The sequence below is a fragment of the Homo sapiens genome, chromosome 7, assembly GCF_000001405.40.
Source record: "Homo sapiens chromosome 7, GRCh38.p14 Primary Assembly".
Taxonomy (NCBI): Eukaryota; Metazoa; Chordata; class Mammalia; order Primates; family Hominidae; genus Homo; species Homo sapiens.
The window spans coordinates 124,850,582-124,874,350 of NC_000007.14; the positions used below are offsets into that span (position 1 = coordinate 124,850,582).

At 33.8% G+C, this 23,769-nt stretch overlaps 1 protein-coding gene across 5 annotated transcripts in view; it reads right to left on the reverse strand.

The window, feature by feature from the left end:
- The window catches only part of POT1 (protection of telomeres 1), a 107,440-nt gene that overhangs the window by 28,196 nt on the left and 55,475 nt on the right, over window positions 1-23,769 (reverse strand). For 4 of the 5 annotated variants that reach the window (NR_003103.2, NR_003104.2, NR_003102.2 and 1 more), the window contains exons 7-11: window positions 20,330-20,460; window positions 12,769-13,059; window positions 8,376-8,531; window positions 2,391-2,557; window positions 1,291-1,370 (exon numbers count right to left, since the gene is read on the reverse strand). Coding sequence is in view for 2 of the 5 variants with exons in the window: in NM_015450.3 (NP_056265.2) it covers window positions 1,291-1,370; window positions 2,391-2,557; window positions 8,376-8,531; window positions 12,769-13,059; window positions 20,330-20,460 (825 nt within the window). In the remaining 3 variants the exon portion in view is untranslated. The remainder of the gene's footprint in view (window positions 1-1,290; window positions 1,371-2,390; window positions 2,558-8,375; window positions 8,532-12,768; window positions 13,060-20,329; window positions 20,461-23,769) is intronic. The other variant, NM_001042594.2, reaches the window with a different exon arrangement.

Sequence of the window (23,769 nt, forward strand, 5' to 3'; positions counted from 1 at the left end):
ATTAGCCGGGTGTGGTGGCGGGTGCCTGTAGTCCCAGCTATTGGGAGGCTGAGGCAGGAGAATGCCCTGAACCCGGGAGGCGGAGCTTGCAGTGAGCAGAGATCGCGCTAGCCACACTCCAGCCTGGGAGACAGAGCAAGACTCTGTCTCAAAAAAAAACAAAACAAACAAACAAACAAACAAAAGAATTAAATAATAATGCCTGCAGGCACTTACATGCCTACCAAGAAATGTGTGTTAATTTTCATGCTTATTATTGAGATGGAAAGAGAATACATCTCATAAAATGATTCTTTGGATCATAGCAGGGTAGGAGTTAGGTAGAAAAAAAAAAAAACAACAACAACAGAGAAACATGACCTAGATTCTAGGTCCCAAAATGCAGAAGTAGAAATTAAGACAGGCCAGGTGTGGTGGCTCAAGCCTGTAATCCCAGAATTTTGGGAGGCTAAGGCAGGAGGATTGCTTGAGACCGGGAGACCAGGAGGTCGAGACCAGTCTGGGCAACATATAGTGAGATCCTGTTTCTACCAAAAAATAAAAAATTAAAAAATTAAGAGTAAAAAAAGCCAGGCATGTTGGCATGTGCAGGACTACAAGTCCTTGCTACTCAGGAGGCTGAGGAGGGAGGATATCACTTGAGCCCAGGAGTTTGAAGCCGCAGTGAGCTATGGTCCTATCACTGCATTCCAGCCTGGTCGCCAGAGCAAGACACTGTCTCTTAAACAAACAAAAACCCAGAAATTAAGACAAAGTGGTAAAGGAAAAAACAATGCACACTGAAAGCTTTCAAGTTCAGATTTGACTAGTCACTTATTCAAGCAGACAATATTAGAAGGACATATCCCTCTGTTTGTTAATATTTTGTATTTAGATACCTGATTAATTCAATAAAGACTAGTAACTATGTATACATCTAACATAACTATGAGCAAAAAGTATTTGGGTTATGCGAAATAAGTGGCAAAAACAATCTTTGTTCCCTTTAAAAACTGACAAGCAAAATAGTCTATGAAATCAATACAGATTTTCTTGTGAATACACACATATGATATGTATATATCATAATCAAGTAATCACTACCACCCAATTTGAAAACGTAATTATATAATTTAGGAAGAAACCATGTTTACTTTTTGGCATAGGCCACAGATAAAGATTTTAGTATGTTCCTCTACTACATGAAATTATTAATAAGAGAGACAAAGAGAAGACATTACAAAGAATTATGTTGATAAAACTATTTTATTTAGCAAGAACTAAACTGTCAATGTTAAAGATTATCCTTACTTGGAAAGCTGTCGTCAGGTTCTGATTGACAGATAACATCTGAATGCTGATTGGCTGTCAAATTTGCAGATTCTAAATCCCTATAATTGAAAGAATACAATTTCAAATTGCATAAAACAAAGTCAATATAGTAAATTTAGCTCTACCCACAAAATCCAGAAATTCATTGAAATTGTATATAAAATTTTGTATGTATATGCATTCTTCAGTAAAGGATCTATTGCTTTCATCAGATTTTCCGGGGGTTCAAATTAAAAATCTGAGTTTAGAAAGATACAAGTGAAACAGCAGAATGATGAAATAATACAAACAAAAATAAACTGGGAATTTAATGGATAGCATTCTGAGTCAGAACAATCTAACTCTAGATTCAAGAAGCTAAATATGATATTAAAAATCAGTGAAATTGATATAAAAGTAATAAAACAGAAGCTAATTTAATGTCACACTAATTCCAATGAATTAAAATGTAGACAAAAGTTATTTAAATTTAATGAACAGTATGTTTTCTCTTTGAAGATATGAAGATTTTTTAAATTTCTAGAATATTGACCAAAATGCTTCTGCACACAATACTCACTAGGAATACCTTGGGAAAAGCAGATCTAAATATATAGCAGGTCTAAGATACTATTTACTTTCTGGCACATGTAAAAATTTTAAAAAGTTTAAAAGAGAGTGATACACCAAAACATGTGTTATCTATTTAATCAGTGGCACTTCAGAAATACATTTTTTTCATGAGAGAATTAAATATTTTTGGAATCTTAGATATGTATCAAATTTTCCAAACTTTAGCTAAGGTCTAGTTTCCCCTGTTTGTTGCTGTACTTGGAGAGTGTGGTAAATGATAGAAGAGAAGCATGAGTGTAAAAGCCAGATTCAAACTGTTGGAAAACTTCAACTATAACCCTGGCTCTGCTACTACTTAGCTCTATGAGCCTATAATCATTTGATTTGTTTCATTTGGCTCATCTATTTAAAAACATGGCAAATGGCACAAAAGGCTAGGGAACTATCAGAAGCCCCAGGAACAATATTATCTTAGAAATCGGCTTAATCGATACCTTATTTACATTTTCTAAATACTAAAAGCTTACTTTTTCAGTTGATCCACATCAGAGTTACTTTCTGGCAAGACCCTGATTCCCCGACCGTAACTGGTACCTCCATGAAGATGAAACTCTAAACTTAACATTGTCTGATTCTCTGAATTCATTGATTGAAGTTTGGTATGAAGGCTATAGATTCTAAGAAAGCTTCCAACCTAAAAAATAGATCATTTGTTATTTAGAAAGTGGGGAAAAATTAAAATACTTCTGATATTTAAAACTTTAATAACCAATATGGGGCCAATGAGGGCACTGACCAGTCAGGAAATATACTAAAGTATCTGCAAAGTATGCTATACGAGTGTGGTTGAATATCAGCTGCATGGACACTACATCAAAACTAAATATATGGACATGTGCATGCATATGCGTGTGTGCACACACATACATATACACACACATTCAACTGTAAGAGATATTTCCATTTCAGATCTATTAAAATGTGAAAAAATATTGTGTCTTAGCATCAATAAAATATAATGGTTAAGAAACCCATTACCTAAACGGAATTCAAGCCCTCTATTTGACTAAGGTTTCTGAAAATGCCTTGCTTTAACTAGTTTAAGGATTAATTAAATATGATCCTGAAGATACTGTCATTACAAGAATGCTAAGAAGAAATTTTAAATATGGTACTACCGAAAAATAATAAACATCTTCCATCTTACAAGTTCTATGGAAAGAAAACTTCTGCATTTGTGCCTGTACCACCACAGTGTGAAACACTCCTTGAGTTCAAACGTAAGAGTTAACTAATTAGAGTTTTGAATTAAATGTTCTATAGTTAATCTCAGATGTTTTGCTAAACTTAGTCTACAAATGTCTTTAATTATAGACCACTGAGATTTTTCTTTTAATGGAGATTTCAAATGAGAGAGATGCAGAATGCTATTCAAAGATATTGACACCTACCTAAAAGAAGCTATATAACCTAAATCACATTTATATTTATGAAGAAAGATTTAGAAGCAAAAGGAGTTACAAACAAGGAAATTTAATTCATTTGTATAAATATAGCACTCCTGACTACTGGATGACTATAGGGATACCACTTTTTTTCCCCTACAAGTTCAGGATTGAATAACAGACATCTTACATAACAAAAAAACTATATAGGTTAAATATTCTTTATCTGAAATACTTGAAAACAGAAGTGTTTCAGATTTCAGATATTTACAGATTTTGGAATATCTGCATATATATAATGAGCTATCTTAGAGATGAGACCCAAGTCTAAAAACGAAATTCATTTATGTTTCACATATATGTTATACACATCACCTGAAAGTAATTTTCTATAATATTTTCAATAATTTTGTGCATGACACAAAATTTTTGTACACTGAATAATTGGAAAGCAAAGGGTTCACTCGCATACTGGCACTCAAAAAGATCTGCATTTAGGAGAATTCTGGACTTTTAGATTATGGAGGCTCAATCCTATAAAAGGAAACGTTTAAAAAAAAAAGATGAGTAGCAAATCAACTTTCCAATTCTGCTTATTGTAGCTTCTCTTAATTATATTTCCCCTCATTACTCTTTATTTCTGATGGAGGATATAAGCAAAGGAGGTAAGGAGAAAACCCACACTCCCAGGTGCTACTCCTTCATTCCCAAGGATCTTTTTTCCCAACCAATCAAGGGTTTTATAAGGAGCAGACAAAATACAAGCCTTTCCTTTGACCTCTTTCACTTACATCTATATCATAACCAGGGAGTAGTATAAAGAAAGTTAAAGAAGAAAAGAACAAAAAGAAAAAAGAAAAAAATAATTTTCCTCATAGTCTTCAAAGTGAGACATTGGAAAAAACATAAAATTTTCTAGTTTTATCTCATTCTTTTTGACTGGATTATTTTGTGATTCTTTTAAAATATGTGTGTGTATATGTATATATAAATATATTAGTATAGCACATGTATGTATGATCTACAAAAGATTTGAAAGAAGGCCTAAACACATGGAGAAAGATATTCACATACAAAAGGCTTTGATATTACAAAAATGATAATTTCCTCCAAATTAAACTTTAAATTTTATGCAATTCAATCAAAATTCCCAGAAGCTTTCATGGAATCTGAAAAGCTAATCCAAAAACTTATACGAAAGAGAACAGTCAAATCAATTTTAAAGAATATGAGAGGGGGGCTTTACCCTATCAAAAAATACATAAAGAAAAAGGATAATAAACATAGGTATACGTACAAACCTACATATGGAGACACAGAGAGGAGAGCAAAAAAAAAAAAAAAAAAAAAAAAACCAGAGCAGGCAGGAGCTCAAAGAAGGTTCGATGTGTAGAGTTTTATTTCCTAAAATTTAAAAGTGTCTGAAATAAATGTGGCAAAACATTTAAAAAATAAGGTGAACACACGGGTGTTTATTATACTATCTTGTCTACTACAGTATTTTTTAACATAACAAAATTTCGAGGCCAAGATATAAGTTATTCACATAAAGATAAGTTGTTATTATCAAAAATTCCTTATGGAGGCAGCATTGTATTTTTTCAAAAGCTTGACTAAAAATACTATGAAATGTGCCAGATGCTCTATTATAAAAAAACAAGTATTGGTTAATCTTGTCAGTATTAAGATTCCAAAAATACAAATGAAACATCAACCAAAAAATTATAAAAATACAGTTTAAAAAACAACTATAGAAGTCTATTTAAATACTAAAAAAAAACTAGAAACACTAAAAAAAAAAGCAAAGTAAATATGGCTAGTAAGAAATGACTATCCCTTTAGAAATAATCAAACGATTTGTCATAAACGGTCAAGAATTTCCCTTTAGGTTTATTATTTTTAATTCCCTGAATATGTCTCAAAATAGCCAACCAAATCACAGCTGTTGAACTATTGAAGGCCAAAACATAATTATGACCACGTATATTTTATAATTAACAATTGTGTCTGGATAAGAGTAGGGATTTAGAAAGTAAAGCTTTAGTTTCCAGACAAAAGATTTGAAATCTCAGTTTATGTGACTGGGTCTGTGTAAAATGTTTAAGGGAATGATATAACAAAAAGTGAGATTCAGAAAATAGTTAAGGGCAATTCGGGCTCTAAAATACATTGCTTGTAGATGTTGATTATATTATATTCTATAATTGCATTATACTGTCCTCTTTACTAAAATAAAAACACATTTTTTCCTGTTTCTATACAACAAAAGTCTTTCGTACTGGTTCCAGGTATTTTGACACAAAAACGTAATTTTAAACAGTTGTCTTGAAAGTACCAAGAAGAATTCATTTATATCAATGTCACGTGAGTGAAGAGTTCCTAAATTAAGAAGAAATGTTACAGAGGTTGTCAGAAAACAAATAAATGTGATGTCAATGTGTATTAAATAAAAATCTAAAGTTATATTACTTACACAGAGAAAAATCATTTTCATATTGCATTGCAGACAAATAATATAATGCTATTGATATCTTCACAGAAAACACAGTGCCATACATTTTCTTAATTATGTGTGCTCATATCACCCTCTAGTGGGCAAAATAAAGCAGAACATAAAAAAGGAGAAAAGAATCTGGAAAAAAAATCCACAGCATTCACTGATTCATTCATTCAGCAGCAGCTATTACTTACTTCATCCTCACTACAGGGAAAGCACTGCGATAGGTGCTGTTCAGGACTAAGACAAGAAAAGCAGGAAAAGCGGAAACAGAAAGACCTACATTGGAAGACCTGTTTGGAAGCAGTATAGGGAAAGAGAAGGGAATAAAATGGCGAAGGAAGGTATGCAGAGTGTGGAACTGAGGTGAATCTAAAATGTAAATTCATTTTATTTATGAAAGAACTCTATGAAAAAACCTCCAGAACTGAACTTATCATATATTTAATTTTGAAATAAACTAATCAATGTAGATAATATCTTTCAGGGAAATAATGTCAAAAATATATCTTCAACAGTCAGTGTTTTCTGATATGTCACAGATGTATGTGCATACATATATACACACAGAGGACAAAAAAGTACAGTCACTATCTTCCTGGACCCTGGATTTAATCTAATTTATTGATTTGAGTTGAGTAAACTTACTTGGTTTGTTGTTGTTTTGTTTTCTAATTACTATTTTTTCTGTAACCCAGAACAGTATTGATGGTGAACTTATTTGTGATACAATGTAGAATGGATATATTTGCTACTCCATGGCCACTGATTTATAAAGGGAAATTGGGCATTGAAATTCAGATCTTCACTCTTACTGTTTTCTTTTAATTTCCTATAAGTAGGCTAGAAGATATTTGTGATGGAGATCACTTCCATTTAATGCTTTAAAAGATTAGCTCTGCAAAGAGACATTGTGGATTCAAACACTGGCTTCATCCAGATAGGGACAGGAGGCAGGGAAATTCTACGCAGAAGAGGGCAGGTCCCCAGCAAGGACCCTGCTCTCAAGCTGAAAAGCCTGATACCACGGCCCAAAGTGAGAACTTACATCCCTGTTTTCCTGCTCAAATGTTGCCTTTTCTAAAACCATCCATGGCCCACCCCACCTGACATCCTGTGCCCATAAAAACCCCAGGCTCAGCCGGCAGAGGGAAGAGAGGCAGCTGGCCATCAGACACTATGGCTGGATGTCAGAGAGAAGCAGCTTGACTTCAGAGGGACAGCTTGATGGTGTAACCTGGGAGAAGAATCTGGCCAGAGAGGGCCAGACTTCAAGGTAAGACTACCTTCCTGCTCCATCCTCTTTTCACTTCCCCTTCCCACTGAGCCACTTTCATCAGTAATGAAATCCCCTGAATTTACCATCTTCATTTTATTCTTGAGACCTCATTCCTCCTGGATGCTACACAAGAGCTCGGGTGCCACAAGTGTGGTGTGAGTCAGTCACAGCTACCCTGCACTAAGCTGTTAACACTTAAGCTGTCCATGGATGACAGAGCTAAAACAGTACTGTAACACTTCCTCTGGGGCTTCAGGGGTCACCAGCACCCTCTCAGATGCTGCTGTGGGGCCAGTACAGAGTTTGCTTCTGCCCGTGCCCAAAAGCCTTTGCCCTGGCTCCTGCACCTGCTCACCTGCATGCTCCCACTCCTGTGGTCTGAGTGAGTGGAGCTCTCCCCTGCCAGCACTGAAGCGGCTGCCTAGTTCCAGCACCTGTGCACTCCAGTTCCTGCCCGTGAAGGGGTCAGGGAAATACCCTGCTTCAATCCAACTAGCTGTGGAATCTTGAACCACTGATTTAACCTGAGTGCCTCATTTCACATTTGTAGAACGAGATGACTACCATCACCTGTCTTATAGGAGAGTACCAAATGCATATAAAGTGCCTAGCAAAAGTTACTCTTATTATTTACTGCATTATTATTTATCATACCATTCTTTACTACAAAAAGTACTTTCAAATAAAAGATATAATAGAGAAAAGAAATTCCCTACAATTTTTGTTAATAGTTAAGTACTGCCATATCTAAACTGTGCACCTTAATGTATTTCAGAAGACAGTATGCAAATTCTATAAATTACACAGTATACACACACCCAATTTATAATATTATAAACTTATAATATAAACTTGTAATATAAATATTACAATTATAACAAATTGTAATTTAACAATTTGTTAAACTAATGAACAAAAAGTTATCAGCTACATTCTATCAAACCAGTTTACCAAGCTTAGCATTTAAGTTAGCAATATTTTATATAGCCTTTTTCATTCTAAAGCAGTATTATCTCACACAACAAAATTTTTCTATACTATTTTCACAGTAAAATTATGTATACCTTTAAGACATTTAAGAAAGATTATTTTAAAAATTGCTCTAACCCATTAAGTTTATCTTTTAATAATTTATTGTAACATACATTTTACAACTTAAAAATCAAAGAAATAAATATAATTTCTAGACTGTATCACCTATACATGTAACCATATATAAAAAATTTACATGAGCAAAAATCACTATAATTTATAAAAACATAAAATAACATTTTTTCCTACTATACATCACCTTCAGAGATCTTGCCACATGAACATGGTTATCGTAGACTAAAATGTCTATTGTCAGATTTTGTAGCCGATGGATGTGACTTAAATCACCTTCAAGAACAAGGTCTTGTATTAAGACTCTCCAAGATGGAAATGGTGTCCTGGTGCCATCCCATACCTGCCATAAGAGAGTAGAGTAGTTTTATGATCCTTTTGAAAAAATGCTTGTGCTAAAAAGTTTTTTCCTGGAAACAGTATTTAAAAGTAATTAAACTTATGCCTCTGAATATTGGCACTATTTTAAATATGACATTATTTTCTGATTGTTAAAGAACTACATATGAAATATGGGTAATGTGGAAAATGTAGAAGAATGTAAAGGAGAAAAAGAGTCACACTGCCATAAGCTCAGACTAAATATTCCTGAGTCAAGTGCTTTATACAATAAAAACAAACCAAAATGATCTTGAAAAACACTCATATGTATTAAAATATTTTTGCACATAAATACAACTAGTAAAATTATGAATGCTCTAAAAATTATAATAGTAATACATTTGACATTAATCAAATTATTTTTATGAGATTCAGTCTCATTCTTAAATTAGTTGTAAAGCATTATTCTGATGTTTCCATACAAAGAAGTAAATGTTGTAAATTTGAATAATTTCCTTTATATGATGATTTTCTGGTTCACATTATGCTTTTTCTTCTCCAAACCGTATTACAGGTGAGACATACAAATTACCCACCAGCTCTGGCTATAAATGACGCCTGGTTATTTATATAAAAAAAAAAAACCATAAAACAAAACACACAAAAGATAAGGCCGCACCAATACTGTAGATATTAAAACAAATAGAATATATACATTTAGAGAAAACTCAATTTGAGAGTATTGCTCAGAAAAAAAAAACATATAATATTAACAGAATAGAGAAAAATATGGAATGATGTCAGATCAACAAATTTATTAAATTATATTTAATGCAAACGATTGGTATACCACGGCTACTGAAAAATTAAAATAAATGCACTGTGGTTAGTAAAAAAGGTACCAATATTAATATTGTGCCCAGGTTGAGATGGAAAATGATTATACTATTTTGTATGTAACCAGACATTATATCGAGTAATGTCTAGCTCCTCTGTTATTAAAAAATATAATTTAAAAATTATTTCTGATACATAAGAAAATCACTGTCCGGAAAAAAAAAATCACTCATATTTCCCAGAGTTGAAAACAGTAAAATGTTGCTTTATAGGCCTCCCAATATATTTTTGCTATGTACATATACATTTTTAGTGTGTAAATGAAACTACAGTAATCACTAAATAGACCATCATGAAATTCTATCTCAACAAGTGTATGTCTATAATGTCATTTTATGGTTACAAAGTATTTTATGGTGACATTTACAATGTTATTTTATGGTCATCCTACATAAATAGTGTACACAATTCTCTATTGTTAGTATTTGTTTTTTTCTAATTTTTCTACTGTATTCTCATTTTTTATACTGTAAGAAAGATAAATATATTCTTTTAAATGCACCTTTGTAAATATTTTAAATTATTTCCTTAAGATAATGAAAATAAAATTGCTGAGTTGAAGGGTACAAAAAGACTTTTGAGGCTTATTCTTAAATTGTTGTAAGAAAGGCTTTTACTAATTCTTTTCTTTAAATTTTGCTTGAAGTTTTGGGATACATGTGCAGAATGTGCAGGTTTGTTACATAGGTATACACGTGCCATAGTGGTTTGCTGTACCCATCAACCCGTCATCTACGTTAGGTATTTCTCCTAACGCTATCTCTCCCCCAGCCCCCTACCCCACAACAGGCCCCATTGTGTGATGTTCCCCTCCCTGTCTCCATGTGTTCTCATTGTTCAACTCCCACTTATGAGTGAGAACATGCGGTGTTTGGTTTTCCGTTCTTGTGTTAGTTGGCTGAGAATGATGGTTTCTAGCTTCGTCCATGTCCTTGCAAAGGATATGAACTTATCCTTTCTTTGGCTGCATAGTATTCCAGGGTGTATATGTGCCACATTTTCTTAATCCAGTCTACCATTCGTGGGCATTTGGGTTGGTTCCCAGTCTTTGCTAATGTGAATAGTGCCACAATAAACATACGTGTGCATGTGTCTTTATAGGAGAATGATTTATAATCCTTTGGGTATATACCCAGTAATGGGATTGCAGTGTTAAACAGTATTTCTGGTTTTAGATCCTTCAGGAATCGCCACACTGTCTTCCACAATGGCTGAACTAATTTACACTCCCACCAACAGTGTAAAAGCGCTCCTTTTTCTCCACATCCTCTCCAGCATGTTGTTTCCTGACTTTTTAACGATTGCCATTCTAACTGGCGTGAGATGGTATCTCATTGTGGTTTTGATTTACATTTCTGTAATGACCAGTGATTATGAACTTCTTTTCATATGTCTGTTAGCCACATAAATGTCTTCTTTTGAGAAGTGTCTGTTCATATCCTTTGCCCACATTTTAATGGGGTTGTTTTTTCTTGTAAATTAGTTTAAGTTTCTTGTAGATTCTGGATATTAGCCCTTTGTCAGATGGACAGATTGCAAAAATTTTCTCCCATTCTGTAGGTTGGCCTGTTCACTCTGATGATAGTTTCTCTTGCTGTGCAGAAGCTCTTTAACTTTGTCAATTTTGGCTTTTGTCAATTTTGGCTTTTGTTGCCATTGCTTTTATTGTTTTAGTCATAAAGTCTTTGCCCATGCCTATGTCCTGAATGGTATTGCCTAGGTTTTCTTCTAGGGTTTTTATGGTTTTAGGGCTTATGTTTAAGTCTTTAATCTATCTTGAATTAATTTTTGTATAAGGTGTAAGGAAGGGGTCTACTTTCAGTTTACTGCATATGGCTAGCCAGTCTTCCCAACACCACTTATTAAATAGGGAATCCTTTCCCCATTGCTTGTTTTTGTCAGGTTTGTCAAAGATCAGATGATTGTAGATGTGTGGCGTTATTTCTGAGGCCTCTGTTCCGTTCCACTGGTCCATATATCTGCTTTGGTAGCAGTACAATGCTTTTTTGGTTACTGTAGCCTTGTAGTACAGGTTGAAGTCAGGTAGCATGATGCCTCTAGCTTTGTTCTTTTTGCTTAGGATTGTCTTGGCTATATGGGCTCTTTTTTGACTTTTCAATATTGTATTTTAAACTAACAGTTACGTGACAGTGGTTTTCACTTGTCCAAAAAAGTTATCTGTTACAATGGGATGCAGGTATGTGCTGTGTTTCTGCAGAGAGAAAATGTAGACTCAACTATTTCAGCTAAAAGTTGGCACATTTTATCTTAGAATTTAAGAATTTTCTAAAAACACAGTCAAAAGATAGAATATGCCTCAGTGCATAGTAGTAGAGTCCTTGTCATAGGAAGTGTTCAGTTGTTAGCAAATGCTCATTTGTTAAGAATGTCACTTTTGCCAGAGTATGACTGGTTGACCTAGATTCGCTCTAAGTTTGTTTGATTTTATATTGCTTTAGCTTCAGCTTTATCATATTTGACTTATTTAACTTTCTGCAGGGCATGTATTTACGACTTTCTCATAATATTCCATGTGTATATGAGTGTGCTATTTTCAACTGCTAGAACTTTGTATTTTATTCAATGATTTCTAACTTCTCTGTTTTTTAATATGGGCAAGGTGTAAATCATAATAATGCTAAACTCCATGACTTGTCCAAGTGCCACTGCATTCCATTTCTTGCCCTATTATTCCAAAGATAGTATAGAGAGAAATAACCATAGGAGCAGGCCTGAAGAGGCATTTGTTCAAATGTATCCTCCATAGGATGTCCAGGCAAGAAAAACATCAAACATCCAGCTTCTCCAGAAGTTACTCTCTAAACTGGGATAGGTATATACAGAGATTTGATGGGTCTTAAGTTATTTTTTTATCTTGCTGATTTAAAAGCAAAACACAGTAATGCAAAATGCTTCAAAACTGTCCATGGTATGACTATGAAGTAGGCAGTGAAAGACATAAGAAGAGAACCCAACATCAACGGGACAAAAAAGTAAATAAATGAGAGGGAAGGTGACCTTGACAGGGAAACAGAAATATTCATGTATAGGACTACAAACTATGAAATAATAGAAAACAAGTCTACATCTTATTACTACTAAAATTTTAAAAATGCATCAGTCATACTATATTTAACATGTAGATCTAATAACACTATATTTCTCTGGAAGGAAAGTGTAAAATTTTAGAGAGGTACAAGAGTAGAGCTGCATGAATATTGAGGCTCGTCAAAAATAGTTAAAATTTAAGTTCCTAGTATAATACACAGCATGCTTTATCTCATCAGAATGCTGAAACATAAGCTCTTTACAGACATGTAAGTGGTGCTAACTTATAATTCCCAGTATTAAAAAATATGTACCTTTAGAAGAAATGATGCTCCGTCCACTTCTGCTTTGCCCAAGAGCTGACAAGTCAGGTCAAAATACTGCATTGGCTGAACATCACACAATTTTAGTAATGTCCAAGACGGTGACATATGAGTAGATGCCCAAACACGTAAGGCTTCTACCATTTTGTGGTCCTCAGTAGTGAAGTTAAAATACTTGCTTGAAGTGCGAGGTATGATAGGGGCTCCCAAAGTTCCCTCAAACGTCAAAGATGCAAAGCCAGAGCTGGTGATACCCTGAGTCTCCTTTTTATATACTTGAATCTAAGAAAGTAGGGCAAAGTAGAAAACAGATACAAATAAAATAGCTTACTGATGCACAACCTACGAACCAAAGAAACTGGAAAGATTATCAATTTTGCCAGCATAATTAAGAGAGGGCATTTTTTAAAAACTATTTTTCATTTAATTAGCATGTAAATTCTACACTCAAGTGCTGGTGCTACACCAAGATACAGAAGTATCATGGAAACTGTGAACCTCCATGCAAAATTCACTTACATTTTTTAAAGAGCTAGGTGGTAGTCTCCCTAATCCTATCAAGCTTGCAGTTTTACATTTATTAGTTTTTTTATTAAGGTGTAATTTATACAAGGAAAAAGGACCATAAATGACAGTGACTTATGAATATTATAGAAAAGACCAGAACACTTGAAATATGAGAATATAAAGTGAACAAAATGAAGCTCAGGCTAGAGTTTAATCAGAGTGACTGAGAGCACTGAGATATGCCATAAGCTCTTTTGCTTTCTGAATTTGGGGGCTGTTATCAGAGGCACATACATTTATATTGTTACATCTTCATGAAGTGACCCCTTTGTCCTTATGAAATGCTCCTTCCAAAACTCTCTCGTAGTAATATCGTTACTTCATTTCCCTTATGTTTACTTTGCACATTTTTTTTCCTACAGTTTTAGTTCTAACTTGTTTAGGTCTTCATATTTAAAGTGCATTTCTCATAGGTAGCATATATTTGGTTCCTGATTATTTTTGTTCAGTCAATCTTTTCCTTGCAATTGGAAATTAGTCCATTCACAGAAATGCAGTTATTAACATGGCCATATTTGAGTCTACTATCTTATTTGTTTTCCTTTTTTTCATACTTCTTGCTTTTTTGCTTCTTTGCTTTTTTAAAACCATTTTTTTTCCTATTGTTCCTTTCTTGTTTTCTTTTTGGAATTCTTACTAGTGCTCCATTTCGTTCTTCTTAGCTATGAATAAATCTTTAACTTCTTAATGTCCACTTGGAATCAATATTGTTCCACTATGTACTTTCTACTTTCCATTTCATACTTGCCACTTCCTATTTTACGCGTTCTACTTCACAAATATCTTTTCAATGGTAGAATTCCATTTACTTATCCCATCCATCCTTTGTGTTACTGTTGTAGTATTTTTTCTACATATTTTATAATCTCCACCATGTAATATTATTGGTTTTGCTTTAAATAGACATTTCTCTTTTAATTAAATTACGGAAAGAAAAACATTGTGTTTACGTATTTGCTATTTTTTTCCATCATTTCTTGTATTTTTGTCACTTCTTAACTATCCAGCTTCTAGTTGCTAGCATTCCTCTTTGGCCTGAATATCATTCTTTAGCATTAATGCTATGCAGATATGCTGCCATGGACTATCTCATTTTTCCTTTATATAAAATGTTTTTATTTTACTCTCATTCCTGAAGAATGTATTTGCTGGATATAAAATTCTGTGTGAATAAATTTTTTTCTATCACCATATAAAACTTACTTCTTTGTTCTCTGGGTGTCACTGTCTCTGGTAAGAAGTGAAAGATGACTGGTATCATTGTTCTCCAACAATGCATCATTTTTTTCTCCAGTTGATTTCAAGATTTTTCTCTTTCTCAATGGTTTCACATTGAGAAAGTTTTGTCTGGATGTGCGTTTCTTTGCACATACCCTGCATAAAGTACATTTAAGTCTTTGTTTTTCATCAAATTTGGGGAAATTCTGGTCCTTATTTCTATAAATATTTTATTTCCCTTCACCCTCTCTCCTCTTGCATCCTAAATTACATGTAACCCTTGATATTGTTCCATAGGTCCTTAGGGTCTATTAATTTGTATTTAATCCTTGTTCTTCAGATTAGGTAGCTTCTAATGATTTGTCATCAATTTAACTTATATCTGATCTATTTAGCCCATCCATTAGATTTTTCATTTGTTCTTTTCAGTTCCTGAATTTCTATTTTTTTAATAGTTTCCACTTCTCTGATGAAATTTCTTTTCATTCATTTAACATCTTCCTCTAATTCACTGAATCTATTTTCACTTAATTCCTTTTTTAAGTTATTTTATTTATTAATTATTATTATTATTATTATTTTGAGACGGATCTCGTTCTGTCACTCAGGCTGGAATGCAGTGGTGTAATAATATTTCACTGCAGCCTTGACCTCCCGGGCTCAAGGGATCTTCTCACCTCCACTTAATTCTTTGAAAGTCTATATAATCTGTGCTTTAAAGTTTTTGTTTAATAAAGACAACATTTGGGCTACCATGGAGTTGGTTTGGAATGTGTATGATTTTTTCTTTTTTCTTGACTAAGGGTAACACTTTGTTGTTTTCATGTAGAATATATCTTTTTTTCTTTACTAGACATCATAGATGCTATACTGTAAAGACTCTGAATTATGTTGGCTTCTTCTGACAAACACTGATTTTTGTTCTTGTTGGCCACTGAGTTGTTGTCTGGTCATCTTAAACTCATGAATGCTTGTTTTTATGCTTTGTTAGGGTGATACGTGGAAAGCCCATGATGTTTCCCAAAGTCTTCTACCTTGATGGGACTCACCCTGCAAACTCTCTGCGAAGTCTTCTCCGTAGAACTTGTTTCAGGCTTTGATAAAACATGTGTAGAATAGGCCTTACTATAAGATGTGGTCCTTCGTGAGGTGAGCTACTTTTGGGGGGTGAAACCTTTGTGCTGCCTCAGCTGAATGTCCAAGCTGTTAAGGAGGTATTAATAAGGTTATTTGTCCCTGACTATCTTGGACTTCCAGCACCCCATTACTAGACCTCCAGTATCCATTTCATGTTCAACCACAGTTCAACCACACAGCAGCTTTTGTAATCCTTAAGTAGTTCTACCCTGCTCTGTGCAGCCTGGCTTTCAACCAAGTATTCGAGCCCACCCCAACCCTGGTGGACTTTTAGACATCCCCTTCTGTATAACTCCTTCCTCTCTGGTTTCTTGTTGTGAAAATTCCAGCTTTCAGCTGCCTTGAACTTTGACTTTAGCTATAGCAGGACCACAGCTTGAACTTCAGCTTACTGTGCAGTGGTTGAGAAAATGTCTATAGGCAGGGATGTGGTCATCATGGGGCTCACTTTATAAGTTTCTCTTCACTCTCTGATCATAGCTACCCATTGTCCGATGCCTAAAAAACAGTTGCCTCATAACGTTTTATGGGTCTTCGTGGTAGTAGGGCTAGTCTAGTACCAGTTAATTTTTCGTAACACAGAAGTTCGCTCTGCAGATTCTAACTATACTTGCCTACAACTGATCGATTACCTAACTTTTAAATGGGTTCTACTTGATGTATATGCTGCTTCTCTTTTATACTCCAATGTCTGATTGATTCTTGGTTCTGTGGTCATCATTTTTATCACCAATTCCATGCTCACTAGTGTATACTGTTGACTAAAGCTTGCCTCTGCTGATTAACATAGTAAACCAGAACAATCTTCCAGCTTAGGTGTGTTGGTAGCTTTCACATATCATTTATGAGCAGGTCCTCTTTGCTTGAGATTCAAAATATACCTTAATTAGTCTACTTCTATTTCCACCACCACTGTAGTCTAACGCATCCTCATTTCATGTCTGTAAAACTGAAATAGCCTTCTAAAGAATATCTTTGCCTTCATGCTTGTTCTTCAACAACCCATCTGTTATCCACGTTAGTAAGAGAGATTTTTTTCAAAATTTGAACCAATAATTTCATGTTCACATTTAAAACCCTCTAATGACTTCTCATTATACCTAGAGTAAAATCTAAATAACTTACCTACCACAATTTCATCTTGCAACACCTCCCCCATGGCTGCCCATGCTGGTCTTATTTCTGTTTCTCCAATACCATGCTCATTCCTATCACAGGGCCTTGGCACCTATAGTGTCATCTGGTGGAAAACATTTTCCCTCAAATCTCAGCAGGACTTCTCATTATCATCATTTGGGTCTCAATTCTTATGTCTCCTCATTAGAAAGGCCTTTCCTGATTTTGCTTTATTATTTTTATTTATTTATTTATTTATTATTTTTTTTGGATGGAGTCGTGCTCTGTCACCCAGGCTGGAGTGCAGTGGTGCGATCTCGGCTCACTGCAACCTCTGCCTCCCGGGTTCAAGCAATTCTCCTGCTTCAGCCTCTTGAGTAAGCTGTGACTACAAGCACCCACCACCACACCTAGCTAATATTTGTATTTTTAGTAGAGACGGGGTTTCACCATACTGGCCAGGCTGGTCTTGAACTCCTGACCTTGCAATCTTCCCACCTAGCCCTCCCAAAGTGCTGGGATTATAGGCGTGAGCCACCACTTTATTTTCTTTATAGTAGCTATCACTACTTGAAATTACTTTGATTTATATGCTTACTTTCATACTGTCTGCTTCTTTGCATTAAAACAGATGCCTATACAATAAATAAATAAATAAATATTTGCTGGAAAAAGAAGAGTAGATCTTGACTCTTGTTTTAATGTATATTTTTGCTATGAACTATGATCTTCAAATTGCAATAAGAAAAACAAGAAAAAATAAATTCTGATATCTAAAACAAATGTCTGTACTTAGAATGACCTTGCTCAACCAAAGACAACAGGGCGATTCAAAGCTAGTGGAACTGTCAACATAAAGAGTGTAAGGAAGCACTACTAGCCGTAAATATGAACATTTCATGAAAATAGAGAAACAACTTTATAGAAAAATATAGTAATGCTAAATCTATACAGGAGCCTCACAATATATAAAACATAAAATTAAATAAGAAGGCTTAAACCCCATTAACATTGCCTTAAATTATTAAGCAAAATCGATAGAGCTAAAGGAAACAGGCAAATCCTCTATCATAGTAGCCTTTAAAACAGTTTTCAATAGCTGATAAAATAGATAAGAAATAAAAAATTATATTGACCATATGTTAGAATATAAAGTAAGCATCCACAGATTTCAAAATACTAAACATTTCAGAGTATGTTTTCTGACCACCACAATAAACAATAGTAAAAAAAGGTAACTATTAAATGATTTAAATAAATATAAAAAAGTAATAATCCTAAGGAATTGGATTGAATATAATTCAATATATATATTATTTGGATTATTTGAATATAATTCAAATATAATTCAATATATAAATATATGTTCAATATAATTCAATATATTATATTCAATAATAATTCAATATATATTCAATGATAATTCAATTTTTTTGAATTTTCATATTGATTTCCTCTCTGACTTATGGATTATTTAAGAATTATTTATAAACTTACAGATCAGAGATGAAATCTATGATCAATGTAAAAATTCAATTATATATTGAACTGAATGGTAATGAAGTTATGACAAATTAAAAACTGCTGGATACAACTAGGGCAGTACTTAAAAAATTTATAGTCATAAATGAATATATTACAAAAGAAGTGGCTGAATTATTATAGTAGTACAGTTAATTTTATACAGTGATAATACCGCATCTTTACATTCATTCACATTTCTCTAGACTGTGAATGGAGCCATGCATGGTCTGTTAGTGTTTGTGTATACAAATTGTTGAAAATCTCCAAAAAATTTTCCAAAATACTTATTGAAAAAAGTCTGCATATAAGTGTACCCATGTAGTTCAAACCTGTGTTGTTGAAGGGGTAACTATATGCTGTTAGAGGTCATGAGACTCTTTACTCCTGTAGCAGGAGACACAATAATGACCTTACTGGAGGGGGTTATGAAGGAAGTTTCCAGAGTGTTAGCTATGTGAGTATGGTTATATTGTGAATGATGAGATGTTTATCTATTTGCTATTAAATAGTAACTTCCATAAACAATAACAACAACTAAATATGTTTATGAAGAGTGTATTGTTTGAATACAGTATACAGGAAACAATACTGTGAAAAGTAAGCAATTTTTTGACGTTTAAATAAGTATGTATTACATTTCTATGATGATAATATTTCTTTTTATTTATTTATTTATTTTTGAGTCAGAGTTTTCTCTTGTTGCCCAGACTGGAGTGCAGTAGCACAATCTTGGCTCACCACAACCTCCGCCCTCCGGGTTCAAGCGATTCTCCTGCCTCAGCCTCCTGAATAGCTGGGATTACAAGCATTACCACCACGCCCGGCTGATTTTGTATTTTTAGTAGAGACAGGGTTTCTCCATGTTGGTCAGGCTGGTCTTGAACTCCTGACCTCAGGTGATCCGCCAGCATCAACCTCCCAAAGTGCTGGGATTACAGGTGTGAGCTACCATGCCTGGCTATGATAATATTTCTATTTCTTTTTATCTTTACACAAACATTCTCTATTATCCTCTTATTCTCAAGGAAACAGCATTAATAGGTCATAAAAAGTGCCTAAGAGTAGAACACAGCTGAACACTGTCCTCGTTTATGAGCAGCAGACTGACCATGAAGGACAGAATTAAACTCAAGCATTAGAAGAAAAAGACAACCAAGATGATGAAGAGGTTACATGGAAACCCATGTAACAGAGGAAAAGATGAAGAAACAGAAATATTTAAAATCTAAGGGACTGAATATATACAAAATATTTAAAAGCTGTCCAAAGCATCATGTAGTAATTTCCAAAGAAAAATTCCAGAAGTGCATTGAACAAAAAAGCTCAATTAAATAAATATTATAGCAATAAAGATAATAATTTTGAGAAAATAATAATCCTTTGTATTTGTAAGTTCTAAAATTTTTTTAATTGTGCTATTTAATAACTCTACCCTATATTAAAGGCTTTCTTACATTTAGTTATTTAACTACAGGCATAATTTTTAAAGTTCCTGTTCATATCTTATTTCTTATAAATGAAAACCAACTTAATTTGATTTTATACTTAGTATCTCAATGTTTTCATTGAACTTGAATTAACACAAGAAATGGGAAAGAATAATATAATCTCCTAATCTTTGTATACATTTTTTCTTGTTGACCTAAAGCTCTTTTTTAAAACATTAAAAAATAAATGTTCTTTATCAAAATCTACAGATAAAACTTCTATAGCATTAGTCTGTATTTAGAAACAGAAGACAGAATGGAACCAGTTTTAATCATGGCATGTAATACATTTCTGGGGAATGAAAGCAGTGGTTTGTTCAAATGAAGATGTTTCTTACTGTAAATTATTTGAAGTCTGATAATATTTACATTACTTCTTATCTCCTGAAAAGCTTGCTGTCATGTTCTAACAAAGCAACTATATAATTAGTGCTAACTAGTTTCAGTGAACAATACAGAGTTCTCTTCAAATAAATATAAGTTCTAGACAATATGAATTATACCTTCAGCCTGTGAAAGCGAACAATATCTCCATTTTTATAAATTATTGGAAGGGCTTCATAGTTTCCACTAAAGAGCAGGCAAGTTAGTTTTACATTTGTCTGGTCCACAATAGTTACAACTGAGCAATAATCTGGAAAACACAAAAATATTTTACCTGACTTTCAATATTTTAAAGCATTTGATAAAATAAGAATATGCTTACTTCAAAACACCAAACCTTATTCTTCCTTTTAATTAAGTCTTCTAAGAGGATTAAAACAGAGACATTTTCTTGGCTTTCAATACACACTGCAAAATTATTTTGCAGAAGTGTTCTATAAATACTAATTTTAGAAAGTTTAGTAAAACAAAAATAAAAATCTCATTCAGTGTAAATTGTCTGGAGAGAAAATAACCTTTTCTATTGCTTCAAGGTTTACAAATCATGAAACATAAATGTAGTCAAATAAGAAAAATGCAATTTATAAAATAAACATAACTAAATTTAGAATGAAAACAAAGGCTAAGATATTTACAGCAGATATGAAGAGTTGCATCCATACTGCATAAAGAATTTATGAAAACTGTCATAAAAATCAGGATGATACAGTAAATATGTCGTACAAATGAATAAACAATACATAGAAAACTATGTCATAACAAAAACTCAAAAGAGAAAATGGTAATTCTTGCTAGTCACCTATAAAAAATTATACATTATAACAAAAGAGAGGTATTTTTAAAATTTAAACTGGTAGAAAAATTTAATATTTGGGTTGCTATAAAACGATAACTTCAAACACTGGTGGTAGTAAAAACTGTAATAGATCCTGCCTTAAAATTTTTTTTTTTTTTTTGTAATTAACATATAAAAGATTGTATGTATTTATGGTGTGCTATACATGGTTCTGAAGTACACATACATTGTGAAATCATCAAATCTAGCTAATGAAAATACACACATTACCTCACAGTTATTTTTGCAGCGAGAACACTTAACATCCATTTTCTTAGCATTTTTCAAGAATGCAACATATTTTTCACTATAGTCACTATGTTATACAATAGAACCCCTGAACTTATTCTTCCTAACTGAAATATTGTATCAGTTGACCAACATCTCCCCAAAACCTTCCCATAACCACACAGACCCCTGGCAACAACCATTCTACTCTCTACTTCTATAAGATCAATTTTTTAAGATTCTGTGCCTGGCTTATTTTACTTAAGAATGTCCTCCAGGTTCATCCATGTTGTTGTAAATGACAGAATTTCCTTTGTATGTCTAAATAGTATTCCACTGTGTATACAGACCACATTTTCTTTATTCATCCATTAATGGATGCTTAGGTTTATTCTATGCCTATTGTGAATAAGCCTGCAATGAACATGGGAGTGCAGATATCTCTTCAACATACTGATTATTTACTTTTGATATACATAGTAGTACTCCCTATCTGAAGTGTCACTTTCCACAGTTTCAGTTTCCTGCAGTCAACTGTGATCTATAAATATTTAATGGAAAATTACAGAAATAAACAATGTGAATCATCTCTTCATGCAGGGTATCCACACTGTCCACGCTCCCTGCCTGTTTGTCACTTAGTAGCTGTTTCAGCTATCATATCAACTGTCGAGGTATCGCAGTGCTTGTGATCATGTGACCCTTATTTTACTTAATAATTGCCCCAAAGTGCTAAGGCAAAGTGATAAGTGCTTAAACTTTATCACAGATACGTATATTTAGGAGAAAACAGTATATACAGGGTTCAGTACCATCCACGGTTTTGGGCAGCTGCTGGGGGTCTTGGAGCATATCCCCTTTGGACAAAGGAAAAGTACTGTACCCAGTAGTGAGATTATGGGATCATATGGTAGTTCTAATTTTTGGAAGAACATTTATATGTTTTCCACAATACCTGTGCCACGTACAACGTGCAAATGTTATCTTTTCTTCACACCCTCTCGATACTAGTCTTCTTTTTGATAACAGCTATCCTAATAGGTGTGAAGTGATATCTTGTTGTGGTTTTAATGATTAGTGATGTTGAACATCTTTTCGCATACCTGTCTGCCATTTGTATGTCATTTTTAAAGAAATGTCTATTCAGGTCCTTTGCCCATGTTTAAATTGGGTTGTTTTCTAACCATCTAGTTGAGTTCCTCATATACTTTAGATATTAACCCATTATCAGATACAGTTTGCAAATATTTTCTCTCATTCTTTACTCTGTTAATGTTGGCTGTGCAGAAGGTTTTTAAGTTTGATACAATCCCATTTGTCTATTCTTGCTTTCACTGCCTGAGCTTTTGAGGTCCTTTCCAAAGAATCTTTGGTGAGATCAATGTCATGGAGCTCTTCCCCTATGTTTTCTTCTAGTAGGTTCATAGTACTACATTGAATAGAGTGGGCATCTGTCTTGATACAGATCTTAGAGAAAAAGCTTTCAACTTTTTCTGCATTTATTAAAATGATCATATAATTTTTGTGCTCCATTCTGCTAACAAACATTTTGATTTGCATATGTGGAACCACCCTTGAATACCTGGAATAAATCCTACTTGATCATGGTGAATAGTCTCTTTAATGTGCTGTTGAATTTGGTTTGCTAGTATTCTGTTGAGGATTTTTGCATCTGTATTGGCCTGTAGTTTTTTTGCTTGTTCAGTTTTTATTGTGTCTTTGTCTGTCTTCAGTATCAGAGTGATGCTGGCCTCGTGAAATGAGTTTGGAAACATTCCCTTCTCTTCCATTTTTGGAAGAGGCTGAGAAGAATTGGTGTTAGTTCTCCATTGAATGTTTGATACAATTTGATGCTGCCTATATACATGATTCAGAAAATGCATTGACTTTCTGTCCTTCCTAGTCCCCTAGTAATGAAGGTATAGAGATTGAAAGGAACAAACCCCAAAACAGTGAAGGAAAGGAGAGTGGAAGAAAATATCAACATATTTCAGGAAAATGGAAGGTAAGTGGTTAAGGGATAAAATAAACAGAGGAGGCCAAAATCCAGAAGATACTACAAGGTGGCTACAGTGAAGATGGGAGCCACTGGGATTAAGGGTGAGAGTAAAAAGTAGGGCTGAAATCAGGGGATCAATTAGAAGTTTACACACAGAACAAGTGTTTCAATGACTACCCATCCTTATTCTCCGCTTCCCTGAAAATGACTTCAGGCAGCATCTTTGTATTTAACAACCTTTCCATTTTGCAAAATTCTAGGAACAAAGGCTCTTTTCCAAGGGGGCTGCACTCATTAACTGGGAAGTGGTAAGACTTCTCATGTTGGTGTTAACAACTAGAATAATTTCCTCCTCACCATCACATTAGGGAACCTACAGCCTAGTTGGAAGTTCTCATCCCACCCACCCTAGGCTGAAAATTTCAATCAATATGCCCTAACAAGTACTATTAGTCACTATCAAGTTTCCCACTCAAGGGGAGGGCGTATTAGAGAAA